This window comes from Homo sapiens, chromosome 6, assembly GCF_000001405.40.
Source record: "Homo sapiens chromosome 6, GRCh38.p14 Primary Assembly".
NCBI classification, from domain to species: Eukaryota; Metazoa; Chordata; class Mammalia; order Primates; family Hominidae; genus Homo; species Homo sapiens.
The window spans coordinates 152,185,575-152,200,890 of NC_000006.12; the positions used below are offsets into that span (position 1 = coordinate 152,185,575).

Genomic DNA, 15,316 nt, shown 5'->3' on the forward strand with positions numbered 1-15,316 from the left:
TTTTTCAGACTGAAGTATTAATAACGTAAGTACGCTTTAGCTTCAAGCATTAAGACACTTCAACATGGAAAGTTTCTAAAAACACTATGTATTCCGTTTGCTGTTTCTTTTTAACGTCTTAGTCTCCTCACAGGTGCAAGTTATTAATCTATTTACAGCATATCGCATGATCAACATCAGCTTTTGAAATATATTTTCAGATGGCTGTCTAGATATATCTAAGTCTGGAGAACAATTTTACAACATATGAATGACTACTTTAGCAATTAATAATAGCAATAATTCCATGGCATTTTTATACAACACTTTTCCTAAATCAAAAAGTATTGCATAACCATAATCTTCTTAATCTTCAAAATATTCAAAATCTTGTCATTATTTTACACTAAGAGAAACGTAAGTATGAGGAAATAGAATCGATGCCATAATGTCTTCATTATAAACAATACATCATGAACACTTAGCTACTCTAGACACTGAAGATGCAAAGAAATGGTCTTTGCATATCAAAGTCCTCATATTCTTGGAATGAGGTCACAAACATTGAAAAGAATAATAACACAATGCCACATAATGGCACAACCAAAAGAGAAATAAGAATTCAGAGGACCAAGAACATACTGAGGGCTGAGAATTTCATAAGTGACATCACAGGAGTTGTGGAATGTAAAAGAAAACAGGTTAGAAAATTAGAAGGGAAGACCGGGCACGGTGGCTTACGCCTGTCATCTCAGCACTTTGGGAGGCTGAGGTGGGCAGATCACCTGGGGTCGGGAGTTGGAGACCAGCCTGACCAACATGGAGAAACCCTGTCTCTACTAAAAATACAAAATTTACAGGGCGTGGTGGCACATGCCTGTAATCTCAGTTACTCGGGAGGCTGAGGCAAGAGAATCACTTGTACCCAGGAGGTGGAGTCTGCGGTGAGCCGAGATCACACCATTGCACTCCAGCCTGGGCAACAAGAGAGCAGCTCTGTGTCAAAAAAAAAAAAAAAAAAAAAAAAAAAAAAAAAAAAAAAAGAAGAAGAAGAAAATTAGAAGGGAAGAAACAGTGTCGGCAGGAAGAGTGGCATAATCCAGGTCTTTGGGGAGGGAAGTTCATGGCATGTTTGAAGCAAACAGGATCCAATCTCTAAAATATTATCTCTCTGAAGGCTTCACAGGCATCATTTAGCTAAAGCAATAGATCTGGTCTAATTCAATTCATCGAACATGCTAAAAAATATTAAGAGAGCAGGTAGTGCTAGACTTCTCCTAAAATTAAGAAAAACAGATGAATGGGCTCACAAACGTAACTGAAGGTTGCTGTGATAATTTCCCACAATTTGTACCCACCAAATATCTTTCATTTTGATACATCATGATAAAGTCTTTACATTGCAAAATTATAGGATGATTTACTGTATAATAAGGTATTGCTTTCAGTTTGAAGAATTCAGAAATGAATCAAGTGTTGTGATTAGCATTACTACCCTCTATGCGTAAATCCATGTAAATTCCTCATTGTGTTCACTGAGAAAATGAAGCTTTGTGAAAGTAGCCAAATTCATTTTGAACTCAAATCATTAACATGTTGGTAAAAGCCATCTCATACATGTATCCCCCGTTTTAAAAAGTATATATTCATAGGAAACTGCTCACACATCTACCATGTGTGCTCCAGAGTTTTCTGTTGGCCCACGGATTGAGAAAAACATGGGTTTTCACCTAAATATACAGAGAGAAATTTTCCTGAAAATACACTTCTTGTTGATATCACATCAATCAAGAGGCTCTGAGCCTCTTAAACTCTGTTTAATGGTTCCTGAAGTATGAGGATAAGCATCTCTAAAGTCAGAGAAAGGGTGGAGGATGGGAGACAAAAGAGATCCCAGGGCAGCACAATTGGCAGGGACATAAGAGTAGGGACATAAGAGCCCCCTCTCAACAGCCCCTTCCTCAGTCTTCCCACACCAGCTTTTTCCAGCCAGTTCCTCTGCTCCAACTGCCACCTTGTCAGAGTGTTCATTTGCTTCCTCCCATCAATCAGTCTCCTCCACTCCCCTTTTCGAAACTCAATTCAAAATGTATCCATCTCAAGAAACATTTCCTTTATTCCTTGCCATCCACACTAGCCTTAGCTTGCTTAAATCTTTATACAGTTTGTGTGTGTGAGAGAGAGAGAGAGAGATGGAGTTACGCTCTTGTTGCCCAGGCTGGAGTGCAATGGTGTGATCTCAGCTCACTGCAACCTCCGGCTCCTGGGTTCAAGTGATTTTCCTGCCTCAGCCTCCCAAGTAGCTGGGATTACAGGCACCCGCCACCATCCGCGGCTAATTTTTGTATTTTTAGTAGAGACAGGGTTTCACCATGTTGGCCAGGCTGGTCTTGAACTCCTGACCTCAGGTGATCCACCCGCCTCAGCCTCCCAAAGTGCTGGGACTACAGTCATAAGCCACCACACCTGGGTCCTTTAGACAGTTTTATACATTGTTTTTACCTGTTTATGCCTGGTTTTCTTCTTAACTGTACACATTCTCCTAGACTGATTTTAGTCTCAGATCAAGTTTAAACTTGACGATAGGGACATTTATTACAGTTTGTTAACATCACAATTATTAAGATGACTGATCCATTTAACAGAGATGTATCACAGCCTATTATGTGCCAGGCAGGGCACTCGGGGTATAGAAGTAACAAAGACAGGGCCCTGCTTCCTGGAGAACATAACCTCAAGGCATTTGGGTCTGTTCTTCATTATGAGCCTTTGAATCTGTTTTTCCTCTTTGCCTAGGATGTCTTCTCGCTGCCTTTCCACCAATCTTTCCCTTTCATTTCCAACTCAAAGTCAATCTGGGATATTTTTTTAAAACGTTGTGCACATAGAAGGTATTTAATAAATGAATAAAGTATGACTAAAAATAAATGAATATAAATTACCAGGAAACAACTACAGTAAATTAAAAGTGATAATAAATATTCCCTGAACAAAACCAGCTCCACAGTATTAGCTAATGTTGCAAATACAACAGTAGTTTTTCACGTTTCAAGTATATCTACCCAGCAAAATCACATCTGTGAACCATAACATTGTGCTTTCTCTTAAAAATATTATGCCAGCGGCCAGGCACGGTGGCTCACGCCTGCAATCCCAACACTTTGGGAGGGCGAGGCGGACAAATCACAAGGTCAGGAGATCGAGACCATCCTGGCTAACACGGTGAAACCCCATCCCTACTAAAAATACAAAAAATTAGCTGGGCATGGTGGCAGGTGCCTGTAGTCCCAGCTACTTGGGAGGCTGAGGCAGGAGAATGGCGTGAACCTGGGAGGTGGAGCTTGCAGTGAGCCGAGATTGTGCCACTGCACTCCAGCCTGGGCAAAAGAGTGAGACTCTGTCTCAAAAAAAAAAAAAAAAAAAAAAAAAAAATATATATATATATATATATATATATATATATATAAAATGCCAGCCAGCAAAAGTGAAAGAAAAAGAATCCAGTTTAGGTTTTTCTAAAATGTGGTAAAATATAAATGTATTGATCTGAAATGTTCTGGTAGTAACCACAGTGTTCTTCCTTTGTCCGTACTAAGAATTATGGGCCGGGTCCACATGTGGGTTAACCCATCTGACGTTCAAATTCATCTCCCAATTTTCCATCATCAAGATAATTCCATTTTTAGAACTTATCTTACCTGGTGGCATAGTTCTTCCCACTGCCTTTGCAGAAGCTCTACGCGTTCATTAAGAATGGAGATATCATCAGCACTGATATAGGCAGAGAGGGTGTCCTTCAGCAGGCTCAACTGGGTCAAGTCATCTGTCCAGCTCCCAACTGCATTTTCTAATTCCTAAATAAAAAAACAAACTTGAATACCCACGGACATCTCCTGCCAATGATTTCTGAAGTGTTTTTGAATCCCCTCTTGATAGAATTTCCTTTGTATAGCCCTCAATTTAAATATCTAACTTGGGATCTAGAGGCACATCATGGCAATATTACAGATTTGGTTCCAGACCACTGAAATAAAGTATATATCACAATAAAGTGAGTCACAAATTTTTTGGTTTCTCAGTGCATATAAAAGTTATGTTTACACTATACTATTGTGTATAAAATGTGCAATAGCATATGTCTAAAAAAACCAATGTACATACCTTAATTTAAAAATACTTTATTGTTTAAAAATGCTAATGATCATCTGAGGCCTCAGCAAGTCATAATCTTCTTGCTGGTGGAAGGTCTTGGCTCAACGTGAAAGGCCATTGACTGATCCAGTGGTGATTGATGAAGGCTAGGGTGGCTCTGGCAATTTCTTAAAATAAGACAATGAAGTTTAAGCAGCACTGATGACTCTTCCTTTTACAAAAGTTTCCTTGTAGCATGTGATGCTGTTTGAGAGCATTGTACTCACAGAACTTTTTTCAAAATTTGAGTCATCCTCTCAAACCCTACTGCTACTTTATCAACTAAGTTTATGTAATACTTGAAATCCTTTGTTGTTACTTCAACAATATCCACAGAATTTTTACCAGAAGTAGATTCCATTTCAAGAAGCCACTTTCTTGTTGACGGCCATACCACCCTAAACATGCCCAATCTTGTCTGGTCTCAGAAGAAACCACTTTTTTTATTGATCCATAAGAAGCAACTCCTTATCCATTCAAGTTTTAACATGAGATTGCAGAAACTCAATCACATCTTCAGGCTCCATCTCTAACTCTAGTCCTCTTGATGTTTCCACCTCATCTGGAGCTACTCCCTCCACCACTGAAGTCTTGAACCCCCTCAAAGTCATCCACGACAGCTGGAATCAACTTCTTCCAAACACATGTTAATGTTGACATTTTGACCTCCTCCCATGAATCATGAATGTTGCTTTTGTGAAAATAAAATTTATTTTTAATTTTTGTGGGTACATAGTAGGTGTACATATATATGGGGTATATGAGATATTTTAATAGATGATAGCAAAGTAAATATGGTATTCATCACCTGAAGCATTTATCCTTTGTGTTACAAACAATCCATTTATACCCTTTTATTTATTTAAAAATGTATGATTAAACTCTTACTGACTACATTTGCCTTGTTGTTCTATCAAATACTTTTCTATTTTTTGTAACCATTAACCATCCTCATCACCCCTGCAGCCTCCATGTACCCTCCCAAGCTCTGGTAACCATCTTTCTACTCTCTATCTCCATGAGTTCAGCTGTTTTAATTTTTAACTCCCACACATAAGTGAAAACATGTTGAATGACAGTGGTGAAAGTGGACATCCTTGTTGTGTTCCAGATCTTAGAGGAAAGGCTTTCAGTTTTTCCTTATTCAGTATGATGCTACCTGTGGATCTGCCATATATGGCTTTTATTATGTTGAGCTATGTTTCTTCTATGCTCAGTTTTTTGAGGGTTTTTATCAGGAAAGGTTGAATTTTATCAAATGCTTTTCAGCATCAATAGAAATGATCATATAACTTTTGTCTTTCATTCTGTTGATCTGATGTACACATTGATTAATTTGAGAATGTTCAACCATCATTGCATCCCTGGGATAAATTCCACTTGGTCATGATGAATGATCTTTTTAATGCACAGTTAAATTCAGTTTGCTATTATTTTAATGAATATTTTTACATAAATGTTCATCAGAGATATTGTTCTATAATTTTCCTTTTTTTTTTTTTTTTGATGTGTCTTTGTCTGGTTTTGTTAGCAGGGTAATAGTAGCCTTGTAGAATGAGTTTGGAAGTATTCCCTCCTCCTCTATTTTTCAGAATAGATTGAGTAGGATTGGTATTAGTTCTTCTTTAAATGTTTGGTAAAATTCAGTAGCGAAGCCATCAGGTCCTGGGCTTCTTTGCTGGGAGACTTTTTATTATGGCTTCAATCTTGTTACTTGCTATTGGTCTGCTTTTGGATTTCTTCATGGTTCAATCTTGGCAGGTTGTATGTCTCTAGGAAATCATCCATTTCTTCTAGGTTTCCCAATTTATTGGCATATAGTTGCTCATAAAAGCCGCTAAAGATCCTTTAAATTTCTGTGGTATTGGTTGTAATGTCTCCTTTTTCATTTAGATCTTCTCTTTTTTTCTTAGTCTGGCTAATGGTTTGTCAATTTATCTTTTCAAAAAATAAACTTTTCATTTTGTTGATCTTTTGTATTGTTTTCTTCATTTCCATTTCATTTATTTCTGCTTTAAGCTCCATTATTTCTTCTACTAACTTTGAGTTTGGTTTGCTCTTGCTTTTCTAATTCTTTAAGATGCATTGTTAGGTTATTTATTTGAAGTTTTTCTTCTTTTTTGATGTAGGTGCTTGTATCTATAAACTTCCATCTTAGTACTGCTTTCACTGTATTACGTAGGTTTTGGTATGTTGTGTTTCCATTATCATTTGTTTCAAGAAATTTTTCTATTTCCTTTTTAACCTCTTCATTGACTCACTGGTCATTCAGAAACACATAGTTTAATTTCTATGTGTTTGTATAGTTTCCAAAATTCTTTTTACTATTGATTTCTAGTTTTATTCCATTATGATCAGAGAAGATACTTGATAAAATTTCACTTTTGTTTGAATGTTTTAAGACTTGTTTTGTGGCCTAACATATAGTCTATCCTTGAGAATGATCCATATGCTGGGGAGAAGAATGTGTATTTTGTAGCTGTTGGATGAATGTTCTGTAAATATCTGTTAGGTCCATTTGGTCTGCAGTGCAGATTAACTCCAGTGTTTTTTTGTTTATTTTCTGTCTGGATGATCTCTCCAATGCTAAAAGTGGGGTGTTGAAGACTGCAGCTATTATTGTATTTGGGTCTAATGTCTCTCTTTAGCTCCAATAATATTTGCTTTATATACCTGGATACATGAGCATACATAAGTGACAGAAAACCAAGGAAAAAAATTAAATGTATATTATTATTATTATTTGAGACAGAGTCTCAGTCTGTCACCTAGGCTGGAGTGCAGTGGTGTGATCTTGGCTCACTGTAACGTCCACCACCTGGGTTCAAGTGATTCTCCCACCTCAGCCTCTCAAGTAGCTGGGACTACAGGAGCACATCACCATGTCCGACTAATTTTTTTGTATTTTTAGTAGGGACTGGGTTTTGCCATGTTGACCAGGCTGTTCTCAAACATATAAATATATATTATATATTTATCTGGGTGGTCCAGTGTTGGGTGTATATATATTTACAAATGTTATAACTTCTGTTATATCCTCTGGCTGAATTAACCCCTTTTTCATCATATAATGACATTCTTTGTGTCTTTTTATAGTTTTTGTCTTGAAACCTATTTTGTCTGATATAAGTATAGCTATTCCTGCCCTTTTTGCTTTCCATTTGCATAGAATATCGTTTTCCATCCCTTTATTTTCAGTGTATGTGTGTCTTTACAGATGAAGTGTGTTTCTTGTAGGCAACAGATCATTGGGTCTTATGTTTTTTAATCCATTTAGTCACTCAATGTCTTCTGAGTTTAGTTCATTTATATTAAATGTTGTTATTGATAAGTAAGGACTTAATACTGCCATTTTATTATTTGTTTTTTTCTGGTTGTTTATATGGTCTTCTCCCCCTTCCTTCCTTCCTGTCTTCTTTTCAGTGAAGGTGATTTCACTGTTGGTATGTTTTAATTTGTTGCTTTTTATTTTTTGTGTATCCACTGAATGTTTTCAGACTTGAGGTTACCATGATGTTTTCAAATAATATCTTAATACACATTATTTTAAACTGATGACAACTTAATACTGATTGCATAAATGAGCAAACTAACAAACAAGCAAAAAGAAAACTAGTAAAAACTCTACACTTTAACTTTGTCAGCTCACTGCAATCTTTGCCTCCCAGATTCAAGCAATTCTCATGCTTCAGCCTCCCGAGTAGCAGGGACTACAGGCACACGCCACCCCACCTGGTTAATTTTTATAATTTTGTTAGAGACAGGGTTTTGCCATGTTGACCAGGTTGGTCTCAAACTCCTGGCCTCAAGTGATCCACCCACCTTGGCCTCCTAAAGTGCTGGGAATACAGGTGTGAGCCACCATGCCCAGCCATGTTGTTTCTTATTTATATCTTATCATACTTGTCTATATATTGAAAAGTTGTAGTTATTATTTTTGATCAGCTCATCTTTTCATCTTTCTACTTAAGGTATAGTTTATACAGGCCAGGCGCGGTAGCTCACGCCTGTAATCCCAGCACTCTAGGGGGCCAAGGTGGGCAGATCATGAGGTTAGGAGATCGAAACCATCCTGACTAACACGGTGAAACCCTGTCTCTACTAAAAAAATACAAAAAATTAGCCGGGCGTGGTGGTGGGTGCCTGTAGTCCCAGCTACTCAGGAGGCTGAGGCAGGAGAATGGCATGAACCCAGGAGGCAGAGCTTGCAGTGGGCCAAGATCCCGCCACTGCACTCCAGCCTGGGCAGCAGAGCAAGACTGTCTCGAAAAAAAAAAAAAAAGGTATAGCTTATACAACACAATTGCAATGTTATAATATTCTATGTTTTTCTGTGTATTTACTATTACCAGTGAGTTCTGCACCTTCACATGCTTTCTTATTGCTCATTAACATTCTTTTCTTTCAGATTGAAGAACTCCTTTTAGTACTTCTTGTAGGTCAGGTCTGATGTTAATGAAATCCCTTAGCTTTTGTTTGTTTGAAAAAGTCTATTTTTCCTTCATGATTGAAAGACGTTTTCACTGGTTATACTATTCTAGGGTAACAGGTTTTTTTCTTCAGCACCTTAAAAATGTCACCTCACTTTCTCCTGTTCGGTAAGGTTTCCACTGAAGAGTCTGCTGCCAGATGTACTGAAGCTCCATTTTATGTTATTTCTTTCTTTTCTCTTGCTGCTTTTAGGATCCTTTCTTTATTTTTGACCTTCGGGAGTTTAATTATTAAATGCCTTGAGGTAATCTTCTTTGGGTTAAATCTACTTGGTGTTCTATAACCTTCTTGTACTTGGATATTGATATCTTTCTCTATGTTTGGCAAGTTCTCTGTTATCCCTTTGAATAAACTTTCTACTCCCATCTCTCTTTCTACCTCCTTTTGAAGGCCAATAAGTCTTAGATTTGCCCTCTTGAGGCTATTTTCTGGATCCTGTAGGCATGTTTCATTGATTTTTATTCCTCTTCATTTGTCTCCTCTGACTGCGTAGCTTACTTCAAGCTCACGAATTCTTTCCTCTGCTTGATCAATTCTGCTATTAAGAGACTCTGATGCATTCTTCAGTATGTCAATTACATTTTTCAACTTCAGAATGTCTGATTGATTCCTTTTAGTTATTTCAATTTCTTTAATTTATCTGATATGATTCTGAATTCATTCTGTGTTTTCTTACATTTATTTTTTTATTTTTTATTTTTTTGAGACAGAGTCTTGCTCTGTCACCCAGGCTGGAGTGCAGTGGTGCAATCTTAGCTCACTGCAACCTCCACCTCTTGGGTTCAAGCGATTCTCAGGCCTCAGCCTCCTGAGCAGCTTGGATTACACACATGTGCCACCATGCCTGGCTGATTTTTGTATTTTTAGTAGAGACAGGGTTTCTCCATGTTGGCCAGGCTGGTCTCAAACTCCTGACCTCAGGTGATCCACCCACCTCAGCCTCCCAGAATTCTGGGATTACAGGTGTGAGCCACTGCACCCAGCTCAAAAGAGCTATTTTGAATTATCTGTCTGAAAGGTTGCATATATCTGTCTCTCCAGAATTGGTCCCTGGTGTCTTATTTATTGGTATTTTTTGGGTTAGGTCATGTTTTCCTGAATGGTCTTGATGCTTGCAGATGTTTGCTGGTGTCTTCGTATTGAAGAATTAGGTATTTATTGTAGTTGTAGTCGGGACTTGTTTGTATTTACCCTTCTTAGGAAGGTTTTCCAGGTATTTGAAGGGACCTGGGAGTTGTGACCTAAGTTTTTAGTCACTGCAGTCAAATCTGCATCATGGGGCACCCCAAGCCCACTAAAACTGTGGTTCTTGCAGACTGATAGAGGAACCACCTTGGTGGTCTTGGATAAGATCTGGAAGAATTATCTGGATTACCAGGCAGAGATTCTTGTTCTCTTTCCTTATTTTCTCCCAAACAAACAGCGTCTCTTTCTCTGTGCTGAGTTCCCTGGTACTGGTGGAGAGGAGAGTTACAAGTACCCCTGTGGATCCCCCACCACTACTGGAACTGTACTGGGTTAGGCCTGAAGCCAGCACAGCACTGGCTCTCTCCCAAGGCCCACTGTAACCACTACTTGGCTACTCTCTATGTTTGGTCAAGGCCCTAGGCCATACAGGCTTGTGTTCTTCTCTTCAGGGCAATGAGCTCCCCCTGGCCCCAGGTGGTCGAGAGATGCCAGGGCTTGGAGTTGGAAACCTTAGAAATCTACCTGGTGCTCTGTTCTACTGCAGATAAGCTGGTACCGAAACCATAAGAAAAAGTCCTTTCCACTCTTCCCTTCCCTGTCCCAGGCTGAGGAGTCGCTCCCCAGGTCCACTGCCACAACAGAACCGTGGGGAATACTGCCAGGCCATTGCTGATGTTTACATTAGGCCCAAGGGCTCTTCAACTCAGCTTGTGGTAAATGCTGCCAGGCCTGGAACTTACCCTTCAGGGGAGTGGGCTCCCCTCTGGCCCAAGGTAGATCCAGAAATGCCACCCGAGAGCCAAGTCCTGGAATTGAGTACCCCTGGAGCCTCTTTGGTGCTCTTTCCTGTTGTTGCTATGCTGGTACCTAAGTTACAAGACAAAGTCCCCTTTGTTCTTGCCTCTCTTTTTTGTAAGCAGAAGAGGACTCTCTTCATAGCCACCGCAGCTGTGAATGTGCTAGGTCACACTTGAAGCCAGCATGTCTCCGAATCTGACCCAAGGCCCACAGTGTGTAATACCTGGTTACACTGCTGACTATCCAGGGCCTATGGGCTCTTTAGTCAGCCGGTGATAGGTCTTACCAGGACTAGGTCCTTCCCTTCAATGCAGCAGGTTCTCTTCTGGCCAAGGGTGTGTCTAGAAATGTCTGGAAACTAGGGCATGGAATGAAGGCTTCATGACTGTGCCCAGTACCCTATCTTACTGTAATTGAGTTGGTATCCAAGTTGCAAAACAAAGTCCTCTTTACTCTTTCCTCTTTTCTCAAGCAGAAGGAAGGGGTGTCTTTTGGAGCTGCAAGCTGTATTGCCTGGGGTTGGGGGAGGATTGGCACAACAACTCCTTTAGCTGTCTTCCTGGTGTGTCACCGGGTCATGTACCCCCAAGTCCACTGGCTCCAAGCCCAGTACTGCACTAGGACCCACCTAGGAGTGTAGTACTTGTGGCCTAGACAGCCTTTCAAATTTATGTAGGACCCCAGAGCATTTTAGCCCATGGTAGCAAGTGCTTGTCAAAACTCAGATTCTGTTGGCTGGGATGGGAGCTTCCCCTTTGGCTAGGTCTTGTGTAAATGCTCCCTCCGTGGGCATCAGCTGAGTTCTGCCTGGTATTGGCAGCACTGAGCTCCAATGCAATGCAGACCAACTGCTGGGCTCTCCTTCCTCGATATGCACAGATGCTCTCTCCGTGCCATGTGGCTGCTGCTGGGGCACCGAAAAGAAGAGGTGGTGTGGGCAATCCAAGGTTGTCTTTCCTACCCTCTTCATTGCCTCTTTCTGTACTATGAAGTTGAAATCAGGTAATGTGATTGCTCACCTGATTTTTTATTCTTATGAAGGCGCTTTCTTATGTAGATAGTTGTTACATTTGGTGTTCCTGCAGGGAGAACAGTCAGTGGAGAATTCTACTCAGCCATCTTGTTCTGCTTCCTCAGGTCAAATCGGGAATGTTCTTACTGCCATCTGCAATGACGAATCCTTTCCACAGGGTTTTCCATTTACTTTGCCCAGATCCATCATAGGAATCACTATCTATGGCAGCTATAGCCTCACAAAGTGTATTTCTTAAATAATAAGACTTGGAAGTTGAAATTATTCCTTGATCCATGGGCTACAGGATAGATATTGTGCTAGAAGGCATGAAGACAACATTAGTCTTGTACATCTCCATCTCCATCAGATATCTAGGGTGACTACGTGCATTATCAAGAAGTGGTAATACTTTGAAAGAAAGCCTTTTTTTTCTGAGCAGTGGGTCTCAAAAGTGGGCTTAAAATATCAGTAAAACTGTACTGTAAACAGATATGGTGCCATCTGGGTTTTGTTGTTCTATTTATAGAGCACAGGTAGAGTTAGCATAATTCTTAAAGGCCTTAGGATTTCCAGAATGTTAAATGAACACTGACTTTAAGTCACCAGCTCCATTTGCCCCTAACAAGAGAGTTAGCCTTTTCTCTGAAGCTTTCGAGCCAGGCATTGACTTCTTTTAAGCTATTAAATTTCTCAATGGCATCTTCTTCCAACATAGGGCTGTTTGATCTACCTCTAGCCTGGGCAACAAGAGCAAAACTCTGTCAGGAAGGGGAGAGGAGGGGAGGGGAGGGGAGAAGGAAGGAAGGTTAAAAGGAAAGACGGAAAGAAAGAGGGAAGGAAGGAAAGAGGAAGGAAGGGAGGGAGGGAGGGTAACCACTTCCATCAATGATCTTAGCTAGATCTTCTGCATAACTTACTGCAGCTTCTACTTCAACACTTGCTGCTTCACCTTGCACTTTTATGTTATGGAGATGGTTTGTTTCCTTAAAACTCATGAACCAACCTCTGCCTGCTTCCATCTTTTCTTCTGCAGTTACTTCTCCTCCCTCAGCCTTCACAGAATTAAAGGGAGTTACGACCTTGCTCCAGATTAGGCTTTGGCTTAAAGGAATGTTGTGGCTGGTTGGATCTTTTATTCAGACCACTCAAAGTTTCTCTGTATCAGCAATAAGGATGTTTTGCTTTCTTCTCATCCATGCATTCACTGGAGTATTACTTTTAATTTCCTTTCAGAACTTTTCCTTTGCATTCACAACCTGGCTGTTTGTGGCACAAGAGGCCTAGCTTTTGGCCTGTTCCAGCTTTTGACATGTCTTCCTCACTAAGCTTAATCATTTCTAGCTTTTGATTTAAAGTGAGAGACATGAGATTTTTTTCAATTGAACACTCAGAGGCCACTGTATGAATTGGCCTAATTTCAATATTGTTGTGTCTCAGCAAATAAGGAGGCCAGAGGAGAAGGAGAGAGATTGGGAACATTGTTGGTGGAGCAATCAGAACACATGCTACATTTATGAATTAAGATTGCTGACTTCTATGGGCACAGTGTGTGGTGCCACTAATTACAATAGCACCATCAAAGGTCACACTGACTGTAGATCACTGTAACAAATATAACAGTAAAGAAAAAGTTTGGAATATTGTGAGAATTACCAAAATTATGCAGACATATAAAGTGAGCACATGCTGTTGGAAAAATGGTGCTGGTAGACTTGTTCTATGCAGCAATGCCACAATCTTCAATTTGTAAAAAAAAAAAAAAAAACCAAAAAACAAAAAACAAAACATAGGATCTGTGAAACACACTAAAACAAGTGCAATAAAATGAGGTTTGCCCATATTTCATTTGCTTCCACATAATTTGATAAATTGCTAAGTCCTTCTGATAAAGTATGATTGCCTGCAGAATCTTTCTGCCATCTACTCATCATTTTATTGATTTAAAATTTTTTTTTCCTAAATTGAAGTTTAATCACTGTATTGATCTTCTTTACTTTAGACTGACTTCATAAACCTCTAACTTATCCTTTCTTTTTGTCCTGAATTGCTGATCACACTGATGAAATATTTTTAAAAACAGACACCTAAATTTAACTTTCATTTTCAAGCACTATAGAGTTGCTACATTCTGTGATCTATACTTATAATGTAATAGCTGAGAAGATCTGTTGCTGTTACTACTCAATTTAAAACAATGCACTGAATACATTTTCTGCAGGATCAGACATTTCTTTAAGTTACTAAAAAAGATTATGTACCCTGTCTTTTAGGGGAATGATTTAAGAAAAAAAAATTCATATAGCAATATTTGAATGAGTTGACATTAGTTTTTACAATATTTTGACCAATTACCAGTTTTGCAATTTGTATAACCAGCTGTTGTTTTTAGATTCCAGCTAGTTTTGTGTATAAATAGAGTATTTCATGTGCCGTTTCCCCTCCCTTTATGTGTCTTTACACGGTAGAAAGGTTTCCAAAGGCAATGGCAATTAGCGGTGCTGTCTGAGGCTAACTTCCCAAGCAATTTAGGCAAACAAGATTTTAGCCTGAATTTTCCAGGTAATTGCCTTGTTTTGCTGCTAAGGGCAGTTTGGGGAAGAGTAGCAGGACTAGACGAAAATACATTTTTTAAATCTACACACTCAATAGCAGCGTGTGTTTGTAACTGTCATGTTTTTTGGGAGATAAAAAATGACGCCCCATGGCAACAGTATTTGGCTGAAAGACCAAACCATCTAGGTTAATTAAATATGCAACATTTCTTCTAATACTTCTAAACATATTCAATTGTTATACCACTGGAAAGATTTTCCACTTTTCACACCGATTTCTACCCCCCCAACTCGAGCATCAGATTTGTATATGGATTTAACAAAAGTACATAATAACACCACCACCAAAAACCAACTGTTTCAGACGCACAGTATACCAACCCCTTAAACGAGTCAGTGTGGCAAAAATATAGCCTGTAGATACAGGCAACCCAGATATTTACTGACTTTGAAAAGTTATTAAATTTCCAGAGGCCTCAGTTTTCCCTTCTGAAAAGGGGCAATAATAAATGTTTTCACGAGCTTTTGTTAATGCCAACTGAGATAACACCAATATAGTCACAGCCCCTAATAAATGCCCATTCCTGCTTTGCAGAAGTTTTCTTTAATAATTTTTAATGTATTTATTTTTTTACAGACAGGGTCTCACTCTGTCAGCCAGGCTGGATGCAGTGGTGTGATCATAGCTCACTGCAGCCTCAGATTCCTAAGTGATCCTCCTGCCTCAGCCTCCCCAGTAGCTAGGACTACAGGCAAGCACCACCACTCTGGTTAATTTTTAAATTTCTTTAGATATGGAGTCTTGCCATATTGCCCAGGCTGATCTTGAACATCTGGTCTCAAATGATCTGTTTGCCTTGGCCTCCAAAGTGCTGGGATTACAGGCATGATCCACCACACCCGGCTTCTTTATTTTTAATAAATTTATCATCACAGGTTCAAAATGCGCTTTTTAATCTTTGTAACCATTGCATACTTCTGAATGTAACAGCTCAAGATAGTACTTCTTTCACTTTCCATCCATGATGTAAAATATACTACCTTTTAACTTTCCTAAATCTGCCTTTTTCAAGTTTCAAATAATATCCTTAGATTTTACAAC

The 15,316-nt window shown here is 39.2% G+C and overlaps 1 protein-coding gene across 48 annotated transcripts in view; it reads right to left on the minus strand.

Moving 5' to 3' along the window:
* The window catches only part of SYNE1 (spectrin repeat containing nuclear envelope protein 1), a 515,676-nt gene that overhangs the window by 63,888 nt on the left and 436,472 nt on the right, over positions 1–15,316 (minus strand). For all 48 annotated transcript variants that reach the window (XM_047418508.1, XM_017010610.2, XM_017010609.2 and 45 more), the window contains one exon: positions 3,678–3,833. In XM_047418508.1, the coding sequence (XP_047274464.1) occupies positions 3,678–3,833 (156 nt within the window). The remainder of the gene's footprint in view (positions 1–3,677; positions 3,834–15,316) is intronic.